This window comes from Homo sapiens, chromosome 1, assembly GCF_000001405.40.
Source record: "Homo sapiens chromosome 1, GRCh38.p14 Primary Assembly".
NCBI classification, from domain to species: Eukaryota; Metazoa; Chordata; class Mammalia; order Primates; family Hominidae; genus Homo; species Homo sapiens.
In genome coordinates, this window is record NC_000001.11 from 61,636,774 (window position 1) to 61,648,979 (window position 12,206).

A 12,206-nucleotide genomic window follows, 5' to 3' on the forward strand; every position below is an offset into this window, starting at 1 on the left:
TTCTATTTTTTGAAGTTTACGGCTTTCAGGGAGCACTTCTTGTTGGAAGTTCTATTTAAAAATTATGGAAGGATTATGATACTAGTGTCCACCTGATAGAGGAAAACAAGGAAGGCAAGTGGGCCATTTTAGAAATCACAACTGTTAAGCTAATTGCAATTTTGAAAGTAAACCTAATGGTACTGCAGAAAACAAGAAGAACGACTCTAATGTAATCCTGGCAGCATTGTGATTTCAAACTGCTAAACCATGCAATGTATTTACTTTTCCTTTGTGTGGGCTTGCATATTTACCTTCACCAAGGATATTTCTCTGTTTCGTGGTTATACATTGCAGCACTCATGACTGATGAATTATTGTCAAGGACAAACTAAGGTTCTTGCTTTTTACCAAAACGACTTTTTATAAAACACAAAACTTTTCCACAGGGGAAATGCAGATTTAGCATTATGCATTTTCGTTAACAGGTTTAACAGGATGGCCTACTACAAATGGTGAATAAAATGAGAGCAAACTTGGGAAAGCAACTGCAAAGGTAAGATTGAATTAAGGGTAAATATATGCAAATTGTCCCAGCCCTAACGCTGTCTTCTGAGGAAAATGCCAGTGCTACTGATTATTTTTTGGAATTTAAAATGGCAGTCACCCAATTGTTTTGCCCTTTACTGCGATCACTAGAAGGAAATACTTCTAACCCAACCCAAAATGTCACTTCTAAAGAAAAAGTATGTACATATTCCCATAATAACCATAAAGCATGGGAATATTTTGTTTTATTTTACTTCTTTATCTTTTCAAGCTGTTAAGACTATTTCTTTTTTGTTTTTTACATTTTTAAGATACATATGGGGTCTCACTATGTTGCCCAGGCTAGCCTCGAACTCCTGGGCTCAAGCAATCCTCCCATCTTGGCCTCCCAAAGTGCTGGGATAACAAGCATGCACCACCACACCCTACATCCCCAACAAACCTCTTCTAGGGTTCCTTGTAATCCTATCTACAGTATCATCCAGAAATTCTCATTGAGTCCATTTCAACACCTGAAAAGACATGCGATGTACAGGTACTTCTCTGTAATGTGATACACATCCTCTTGGTTAAAGGGTTTTAAAGTATCTCAGGACTTAACTTACAAATCTCATAAATAAATACTGTAGCCTGAGTTTGGCCTCAAAAAATAAGAAAGGATACATAAAAGAAAAAAAGATCTGATGGAAATAGGGAAAAAAATTATTATTTGTTAATCCTGAGTGGTGGGTACAGAGATGTCTGTCATTTTCTGGTTTTCTGTATTGGAATGCTTCATAACTTTAAAAATTGTTTTTCTAAGGCCAAGAAAAGCTAAAGAAGTTACCAGGTGCTCAAATTCTAAATGAAGAAACGAGAAGGACTAGGGAAAATTGCACTGCATTTTTCTTTTTCGGGGTAGTAAATTGAAGAAAACGCTGAACTGCAGTTGCATTGAAGGGACAATGATCTAGGGGGTCCCTGGGAGCAGTATTCCTATTCCATTGAAGGAGGTGAGCCAAGATACTTATAAGCTCTAGAGAACCTTTAACACAGGAAGCTATTTATCATAACAAGCTTGGTTGATACTGTTCCCATACTGAACCAATTAGGTTCGCCTATTTCGTCATACTTCATAACTTGGGATGATAGGTTTCCAAGTATGGTACAGTGTAGTAATTGAATTTTGATCAAACACACATGGCCCATAACCCACTATGTGAAATTTTCAGAACAGTTCACAGCTTTTAAATATCCAGTCAACATGTTGCCAAAAGTACAGGATGTACTTGATGCAAGGGGGAGAGAAAGGGGAGGGCTGAATCTTGGTAGAGTTGTAAAACAAATATTTTTGTTCTTGTTCTCTTCTTATTTTTCAAATAGCAGTGGGGAAAGGCCATGGGATATCATATCAAAACTCAAGTCTTCCCCTTGCTTGTTCCATGTGCGTAAACATCCTTAAGTCTCATTTCAGATCAGCATTTTCTTTTGCATGAAACTATTTTCACGTCACAGGCCTGTTACACACGACCTGCTAGCATTCTCCTTCCAGCACTATCCAAAAAGTATTTCTTGACAACCTACTATATGTTAGATACTGGGTCTCCTGGTAAACTCTTTTGAACAAAGAGACATGATCCCTGCCTTCATTTGATCTACTGTGGATGGAGAGACAGACATAAAATACATAAAAACATCAATAATTTTTTATAATTGCAACCACTAATAAGTAATATGAAGGAAAAATAGGGCATCAGGAGTAACGATAATGGGGATGTGATTTATCCAGAAAGGAGGAAGTAGAAAGGAGAAGCATGGACTGCATTTCCAAGGCAGTGCCATGTATGTTGAATTCTGAAAGATGAGAAGTGATCCAAGAGAGTGAACGCTGAGAGAAAGTATTCCCAAAAGAAGTAGGCAAGTAAGCATATGGATAGGCCTTGAAGTAGGCAAGAGTTTGGCAAGTTCAAGGACCTGAAGTCTAGTATATTCAGTGAGAGAGCCGCTAAAAAGATACTGGGGGCCAGACCACACAAGGCCATGCAAAGGATTATGCAAAGTGCAGTCACTGAAAGCTGGTAAGCCAGGGAATGACATGATGGGAGGCAGGCAAGACTAGAAGCAGAAAGACTAACTAGAAGGCTTTGGCAATTGTCCAGCTGGGAAGTGATAATGGCTTGGAACACAGCAATAGCAAGGATGGAGAACAGTGGGCAGATCTGGGAGATATTGTGGAGAAGAACTGACATGATTTGGTGATAACTGGATGTGGGAAGTGAGGGAGAGGGAGGCTCCAAGGACATTTTCAGGTTTCTAGTTTGAATGACTTAATGAGTAAAGTCTAATGAATAACAACTTGTTAGTATAATCCGCAAGACTACACCAAAGCAGTAGGAGAGCTACACAACTTTCACAAGCTCCCATGTCTGCAGGAGTGCTCTGCTCTCTTTGGATTCTGTAGGAACAGAGGCATCAATCAGGTGCTGGGAATACAGAAATTTTCCACCAACGTGCTCATCAAACTTTCCTTTACCGTAAGCCAAAAGAATGTCTCTGAGCTATGAACATCAGACTTTAATATAAACTTTAAAATCTTACTCTCAGCTCTACGGACATGGTTATAGGTGTCTGGCAATTGAACTAGGAGAGCCTGAAAGTAAACACATTGTCTCTTGGAAATTGATGAAAAAACCAAGCATGTTTCTTTATTCATTCAAAAGATTTTACTGAGCATCTTTAGCCTGAGAAGTAGGAGGTAAATTAGACGTGTTCCCTGCCTGGGCAAAGAGTATATTCTATTAGGGGAGAAAGAGGCATACCAAGATGTGCGTAACACAGTTATGCAGTACGTAGTATGTTACATAGATCTAGCAAGACAGCGACATTTAACAGATGACAGGGAGGGGGTGGAAATTCGGTGCATGGGCACGGCTATGAAAGATTTCAAAGAGGCTGTATTTGAGACAAGCCTTGAAAGACCAACAAGAGTTTACTAAGCAGAGAAGAGGATGGGGGAGAAATTCCCAGAGGAAGAAACAGCACAAGCAAAGGCACGAGGGTCCTGAAGAGCACTGGGTATTTGGGGCTAAAGGGTAAAAAGAGCAGGGTATCTGATTCCAGATTAAAATGTCATCCCTCTATTCTGAAATCTGAAAAATACTAGCAGCTTGATTTGTCCACAGTCACTTGTGCCAGGTAGAGAATCCTAATTCGTGTAGGCCCAAACCAACAAGAACCTCTTGATGTGACTACTGCCTGAGTATTGCAGTGTTCGTGGGAGCTTTAAGTTTACCTATCCAGATGGGAGAACCTCTTTCCCGAAATTCATAAGCAGTCCCACAACTCCGCCAATGCTACAGGACCCAGCTTTCTGAGGCACCTAGAAAGACATGGCAGTGGCCCAAGGTGATGCTTAGGTGGGCTGGCGAATGCACACAATAGAATGTCTGTCTGTGACATTTAATCTCACTCTGGCAAACTGGTGCAGCTGCCCTTGTACAACAAACGGGAAGGCACAGTGAGTGACCACCACCAAAAACAAACAAAACAAGTGTGTGCGTGCGTGTGAGCTTTAAAATTTAATAGCTATTCAGACAGTCCTTAGAGAAGGAATTGGCAGCTTCGGCCTCCAAGACTGCTCCCCCACCTGTCTCCAGGCACTGCAAACACAGCTGTGTAAGAAGGAGACAGTCAACGCTTCCAAGGAAAGAAATAGTGCAGTCTTGGGGGTGGGGTGATGATGAGAGCACCTTTCTCACAAACCCACGTGGGACAGGGCCTTGTCTAGCAACCGCAAAAATAATCGAGCAGGACGTGGTCAATCAAGCTCTTTATAAAACCTCATGTTAAGTAAAATCATTCAAGATCCAACTCAATGGCCACCTTAAACCCATGTTTTAAAAGCATGAGACAGAGCACACAATTCATGCTCAAAGGAGAACGAGGTAGCATGCATGCTGGCAAGACGCGCATTCAGGTTTGCTCCCGGTATCAAGATGAGACGTAAAGACGATTTATGCACTGTCATAGAACTTGTAGTTCCTCACACAAAACACAGAACTTCCTGGGAAAGTGCCTAGAAACTTCTTTATCTGTATTTCCCCAGGCTGCAAAGTGCACACATTTTTAAAGTTCAACTCTTAAAAAAAAAAAAAAGTCAGCAGAGGCAAGATTTCAACAGACGCCGGTCCAAATGTTAGCAATTCTAGAGTGGTCAGGGGTTTGCCGCTCCCAAAAGTAAGGGGGAAATTAGAAGAAGGAAAGAAGTCGTTTTCGAAGACGAAAACCAAAGCAAGGAGGTATTTTTGGTATCATTTTAATCACAAAATAGCACGAATGCGGTCTGTGCCTGTGCGCTACCCAAACGTCGATTTGAATACCACTGAACGCTAGTTTGAAAATTTCCATTTTTGTAATTTGCTTTCTTTTGTTAAGCCAAGACTTGAGAGAAACCTGGCAGCCGTCTCTAAGTCTGGCACGATTTCACCTCAGACGCACTCGGTTGGTTTGGATGTTGAGGGAGACCGCACATGAGAGAGGGAGAAGGAGGAAAAGAGAGCTGGAGAGCAAACCTACCGCTCGGCGGCCGCCGCAGAGAGCAGGCCCAGGGCTTCTCAGCCGGGGGATCTGGCTCCACCTACAGGAATCAGAAGGCAAACCTAGTAGACGCCTCGGCGTCTGCAGGAACCCGGTGGGGGCTGGGGGAACTTTGATAATTGCCTAGAGAATTTCCTAGCCAGTAGGAATGGGGGTCGGTAGAAGTGGTAAGGATTGGGAAGCAGGGATTTCCATGACCAGATTACCCACAGTCATATCAGATTCAGCGATTCTTATTTGGAGGAGAAAAGGTATCATGTCACCTCCTATGACCTAGGAATTTTAACTGGTTCCAGGTAAACCCCATTTGAAAGCAAAGGCAGCACCTGGTCCCAGGACAGGCCCAGCACATAGCATGCTCAGGCAATAACATTTGAATGAATGAATGAATGAATGAATGAACTGAATAATCCAATCTATCAAATAACAGAAACCTAATATGATAAAAAGAAAACCAACCCCCAACCCCAACACTGTTTTTCAGGTATATGTATGAGTTGTCAGGCATTTTTGATGGCTAGTAATTACTACAAAAATCCTGCACCATGTAGGCTAGTCGTGTTCCACCTCCGATGTGCCAGAGCAGTGATTGAGTACCACCGATTTCATCCCATGCCCTCATTTGCCAACGAATAAACAGAAGCTTGAAGAGGTTAAATGCCTTTTCCCAGGTCAACCAGTTTGTTGGTGACAGAACTGGTTTGGGGCTAAATTTTCCTGACCTGTCTGGTATTTGTTTTCTAAGGGCAGGAGACTCATTTTGCATTGGCCTGCTGGATGCCCTCAGCCGATTAGCTCTCACAGGAGGAAGTTAGCTTCCCCCACCCACCTGTTGGCCTGTCCCTGGGCTTCTGCCCCAGCTTCTGCTCTGGGCCACAGCCTCTGCTCATGCTGCTCTACTCCAAAAATCAAACGCTGCCTGGAGCTAATGCCAATGGTTGCTAAACTTATGAATTCATTTCCTAAAGCCTGAGGGACAGAATCTTTGAGCCTGTGGTTTAGTAAGCTACAAACAGGCAGGTGCTTTGTTTTGGCAACACAGGTGTCTTATATACAATATCTCCTCCATCTATTTACCCAAAGCACTTAATAAGCAGTTACTGAGTTTCCCAATGATAGTTATAGAAGAAGATGTTATTTACCAATTGAAAAGGAATTTTTGCCGTAGGCAGTTAGCACTCAGTTTCCAGATGAAAAGGTGAAGATCCTTCTGGGAAGTGAGATGCTGTGTGCATTATGTGAGATGAATATGATCCAGGGAAAGATAGCAATTAAGCAGATCCAGATTCTTTTTTTTTTTTTTTTTTTTTTTGAGATGGAATTTCACTGTTGTTGCCCAGGCTTGAGTATAATGGCGCAATCTCGGCTCACCACAGCCTCCACCTCCCGGATTCAAGTGATTCTCCTGATTCAGCCTCCAGAGCAGCTGGGATTAGAGGCACCTGCCACCATGCCCGGCTAATTTTGTATTTTTAGTAGAGACGGGGTTTCTCCATGTTGGTCAGGCTGGTCTCAAACTCCCAACCTCAGGTGATCCACTAGCCTCGGCTTCCCAAAGTGCTGGGATTACAGGCGTGAGCCACTGTGCCCAGCCTAGCAGATCCAGATTCTAACCACAACCTGTCTATAAAATGGAACTAACACTGTCATGACCTCTGAATGGATTAAAAATTAATCATTATTATTAATCACAATATTAATAATAATGCTGAACTATTACTAAGTGCTTACTACATTCCAGGCTTTCAAATGACCACTTTACATGCATTGTCTAACTTATCCTCAGAGCAACCCCATGCGAGTTATAATTATTACCCCCATTTTACAGAACAAGAGAACTGAAGCTCAAAAGGGTTAAAATACTCACCTACAGTGACAGTTTACAATGGTAAGGCTAGTGGTTGGATCCCAACTCCTATCTGACTCGGGACTTCAAAACATTATGTAACACAAGAAATGCCTATTAGCTGATTCTATGCCAGTGGCATTCAAATATCAATCTCTAGTTCTGAGCTTTCAAAGGAACTCTGTGCTTCTATTCCCAAATGCTGAAAGAATATCATTAATTATATATTCCACTACTGTCTCAAACTTAAAAGGGCCTAAGCCAAACTCTTTCCTTCCTTTCATAAGCATTTACTGAGAACCATTCATGTTCAAACCTCCATGGTTTGGAATCTAGGGCAGTGGTTCTCAACTGGGGGTGATTTTGCACTCCAGAGGACATTTTATAATGTCTGGAGACATTTTTGGTTGTCACCACTGGGGCTTTGGAGTGCTACTAGCATCTAGTGAGTACAGGCCAGGGATGCTGCTGAATGTTCTACAATGCACACAGTAACTCACCCCCCAAAAGAATTATTTGGCCCAAAATGTCAATAGTTCTGAGGTTGAGAAATTCTGGTTTAGGAATACAAGGATGAATTAGATAGCTAAAACCAATCATCTGATGTAAGAGATATACATATAAATTTTAAGCACGAATTTTACCTAGATATCTGTGTGATGACAAGGGGTCCATCAAGAGCTATGAGGTTTATTATGGGCTGGAGAAGTCTTAGTGGAGGAGGTGGCACTTAAGCCAGGCATCAAAGGAGAGATAAGATCTGGATTCTGGATAAAAAAGAACAAACAGTGTGCAGGGTGTGGGTGTACATGAAGAATGTTGGTTTATTTTAATTGGAGTGGAGGAGGTGTGAAGAGGAGTAGTAGAGAAACGGGGGTAATATTTTGTTGGGGCCAGACCAACAGGCCTGAATGCAAAGACAACTTCGGACTTTAGGTGTAAGTAATAAGAAGCGATCTAACATTTTCACATGGGGTGTAATATGATCACAATGTTCTAGGGAGATGAATCTAGCAGCTGAATAAAAAATGGATTGCGGAGGGTAAGGAGCTGGAGACAAGAAGACATGTTATAACACTATTGCTACAGATTTTGCTATTTTAAAATAAACCACTTGGCTATTTTTGTTATTATTAGTACCAAACAATAACTGAGTGATTACTGTGATTTAGGACCTAAGCTAAACACAATATATATATAATCTTACTTAATGTTTCTCACTTTCATAAGGATTTCCCCATTATATAGATAAGGTAACGGGGTCTTAGACTGGATAAGAAAGTGGCAGTCAGTTTGGAGTCAAGCTCTGACTAACAAAGCCTTTGCTCCTTACTGCTTTGTGTGCTGGGCACATGGTCTGGATTCTTAACCTCTTGATCAAACCAGACTGTTCTCATTTATAAGGTGGGCAATAAAACCAAACAGCTCAGACCCCTACTGGGAATGGGACGGTCTAGGACAAACAGCCTCGGGAAATCTGCTCCTCCTTGGAGGCTGGAGCTAACTGTAGGGATAAAAGGAGTGTTTCTCTGGGCTTTGCCGGGTGTGGGGAGCATAGACATATGTCCTATTACAAATACACCTACATAATAGCTTCCTTAAGTCTATTTTAAGTCTATTCCTCCCAAGGAGATGGAAAGTAAGAGTGAAAACGGGCACAATCTGGGACATCTGAACAAAAAATCAGACTTCTCATGTCAGGCCTCTCCTGCCATGATGAGGTTGCAAGCAGGGGATATGAAGTGGGGAATAGAAGGGCTGTGACTCCGAAATTCCTTGTTGACTTGGCTCCTGATCAGATTGCTAACTAGGTTCAGGTGTGAGCTCCAGTTTTGTTTCAGAGACTTTTGGGCACAGGCGAGGAAGGAGAGGAAAGGCATCAAATGTATCTGTAGGCAGAGTGGGTGGCAGCACTAGAATTGGAGGGTGTGCCAACAAAGGCATTGCCATACGTGCCTGCTGGCACCAAGTGGCAGTGACAGGCCTCTAGTGGGCCTGCAACTAGACTGTGTTTGCTGATCCAGGACTCCAGCTTTTGTTGTGAAAGAAGATTCATTACAAGGAACAAGAGAAGGAAAGGACCAAAACAGTGTCCACCACTGAGCACCCAAGGACCAATAAATGAATTACACGTGAGAACCTCCTTGAATTCTTCCAGAACTGTCAGATAGAAAAAGATGGTGGACATACTCACAGAGCAGACAGGGCAGAGCCAGAGAGACACTGTTTGATGGCCACCTCTGCTGTTCTACCTGACTCCTTCCAATGCAGGATAATCTTGAAACTATTTTGGAAAGTTCGTGATCTACAATTTAAAGATCAAGCACTGCAGAATTTCAAGATTCCAATTATTCTTTCTAAAATCCCACAAATTTAAAGAAACGTAAGTTCTTGCCACACCTCTTAGATTTTGACATTCTAATGAATATACTTTTAAAACAAATCAGGATACAGACTCCCTCTCTAGCCTTGATTTCCTCAAGGTCAATGATTAAATCTGCAGCACTGGGCTCAGGAGGTGCTCAAGAAGTGTCTGCCAGGTTTAACAGAGTGCAACGTTTGCCCAAAGCATCAAGAATATTCACTACATGAATTAATATAATTTTAATCCAACTTTTACTTTCACCTAGTTATAAAAAAATAACCTTATGCATCAATATGCCTATTTTCACACAGCCTTTGCCCACAGTCTGTAAGCTGTCCTAATACTAAGACCAAATGCCAATAAGCAAATGTTTTTTCCTTGAGAAAATATGGAAGAGGGAATTACACTAAAACATACTACTCAGAAGGATCTGTTCCACTGGTTTTGCTGGTAGAAGTGGCATAATTAGACCTCTTCAAACCAAACAGTGTCCTGAGAAAAGAGTGAAAACCAGAAATCCAGGTTCTCATTGATATGGCCTCTTCTCCATTCTGCTGCCTTTCATGAGCTATTCTTTACGGAATTAAAGCTTGAGACTAACAGCACTGCTATCAAGACATGAGGGTCTCTAGACAACTGGAAACATCCCTGGTCACTTCACACACCCCACACCACAAACTCTCTTGCTTGAATCCAACCTGGTAGATAACATATTACCCAACATTGAAGTATCAGGTTGGCTTTGAATCCCTATTGAATGTCTACTATGCATTCAGTGAGGAGTTTCAAGTTATAGAGATTAAGAAGAAAGGCCCTAACGTTTGGCTTATAAGCTAGTTGAAGAAAACACAGTGCATGCAGAACAGTGGAAGACAATATTCCTTCCTCAAACACTACTGAGTGCCTACTTTGAGCTAGGCCCTGTGCTAGACAATAGGGGTGCCAAAAGTAAATTGATTCCATTTTGTTCAATTCAACTCATTATTCATTTGGCATTTATTGATTGAATGCTCTTGTACTAGACCACTGCTTTTCAAACCTTAATGCATATGTAAATCACCTGTGGATTCTGATTCAGTAGGTCTGGGATAGAGCGTGGGAGCCTGCATTGCTAGCAAATTCATAGGGTATGCCAATGCTGCTGGCCTGTGAACCACACTTTGAGTAGTAAAGGACTGTACAATATCCTAGTCCCTGGCTATACAGAGGCAAATAAAATAGCCATGACCCCTGCCCTACTGAAGCTGATATGCTAACAAGGAATGTAAATATCAAACAAGGAAGTAGAGTCAGCGCTATATTTCCACAGGTTCCACATTCATGTATTCAACCAATCACAGATTGAAAACAGCCAGAAAACAACAACAACAACAAAAAAAAACACTGCAACAATAAAGAATAATATAAATAAAAAATATAGTATAACAACTTATTTACATAGCATTTCCATTATATTAGGTATTATGAGTAATGTAGAAATGATTTAAAGTATACAGGTGCCCTCTGTCAATGGCATTCTGGCAAAAAAATATTTTTTAAAGGTAAAAATGTAAAATTAGATAAGAGAGTAAAGAATTTTAAAATAACATAAAAATAGAGTATGCAGGAGGATGTGCATAGGTGATACACAAATACTATGCCATTTTATGTAATGGGCTTGAGTATCAGAAGATTTTGGTATCTGAGGGGGTCCTGGAACCAATCCCCTGAGAATATCGAGGGAGGATCATTCAATAAAGTACAATGCTAGAGGAAGTCCAAAGTTATGTTGGGAGCATTGTGTGAGGGCACCTAACTTCATCTACAGATCAAAAAAACTTTCCTGAGAAAGTGATATTTAGATTGATAAGAATTTGCAAATAGTGAAGGAAGAGCATTTCAGGCAGAGGGAACAGCATGTTTGAAGGCATGGAGGTGAGAGAAAATTTAGATATTTAACAAATATTTACTGAGTTTTCCCATTGCCAGGCTCTGTATTGGGTGGAAGACCCTGGCACGGAGGAGACTACACCAGGGGACACAGATATGGGAGCAAATGACTTCAAAATAATGTGGTAGGAGCTCTAACAGTGGTCAGCACCGGGCACCAGAGGAGCACTGAAGAGATTGCCTAATCCATCCCAGAAGGGATGGTATTGGAGCTGAGCCTTGACAGACGAGTGAGAATAAAGAAGGAGATGTGGCAAGGTGGGAGACCTGGTCCTTGCCTCTATGGACATAGTCTAGTGGGGAAGTTGGCAAGCTGACTGTATAATACTGATTATAGTGCAGTACAATAAGTGTCTAGGAACAGTGCCTAGCACATAGTAGGCACTTATTAAATATCTGTTGAATAAATTAATGTATAAATGCTGTATAATACTGATTATAGCGCAGAACAATAAGTGTCTGGGAACAGTGTCTGGCACATAGTAGGCACTCGTTAAATATGTGCTGAATAAATGAATGTATAAATGCTGTATGATACTGATTATCATAGAGCACAAAAACTGTCTGGGAACAGTGTCTGGCACATAGTAGGCATTCATTAAACATGTGTTGAATGAATGAATTTATAAATGCTGTGCTAGCGGTGGATACAATCAGGTAGTCCTAGAAACAATTGGGTACTAAATTAAGAGTTACCAACTCCAAGTGCCCATAGAGCTCAGAGCACAAAGAGCTCCAAAAGGGTGAAACATGAACCAGACTTGAAGGAAGGATCAACTCTGTGGGATGAAGGTCGGTAGACATTCATCCTGAGAAGGAAAAACTACCATTGACACCGCTAGAAGTAAAGGGCGAAGAAAACAGGAAATGAGCACAAAGCAGGATTTCTTAATCCAGGGTCCATGGTACTTCTGGGGCTTCTATGAAACCCCAGAGATTATAAGCAAAATCCTAGGTATGTAT

At 41.4% G+C, this 12,206-nt stretch overlaps 1 long non-coding RNA gene across 1 annotated transcript, besides 2 other annotated features; it reads left to right on the forward strand.

Annotated features, from left to right (window-relative positions):
- Window positions 1-334: 334 nt before the first annotated feature.
- LOC107984964 (uncharacterized) lies at window positions 335-11,428 on the forward strand. The gene is made up of 3 exons (XR_001738095.3): window positions 335-375; window positions 468-535; window positions 11,283-11,428. It is a non-coding gene; the product is annotated as an uncharacterized LOC107984964 (long non-coding RNA).
- Window positions 4,931-4,980: an enhancer, noted in NCBI's record as "active region_1112". NCBI's record gives its function as "activates an Ori minimal core promoter by ATAC-STARR-seq in GM12878 lymphoblastoid cells {active_cell/tissue: GM12878}" and the evidence as "EXISTENCE:reporter gene assay evidence [ECO:0000049][PMID:35858748]".
- Window positions 5,191-5,240: an enhancer, noted in NCBI's record as "active region_1113". NCBI's record gives its function as "activates an Ori minimal core promoter by ATAC-STARR-seq in GM12878 lymphoblastoid cells {active_cell/tissue: GM12878}" and the evidence as "EXISTENCE:reporter gene assay evidence [ECO:0000049][PMID:35858748]".
- Window positions 11,429-12,206: the final 778 nt, after the last annotated feature.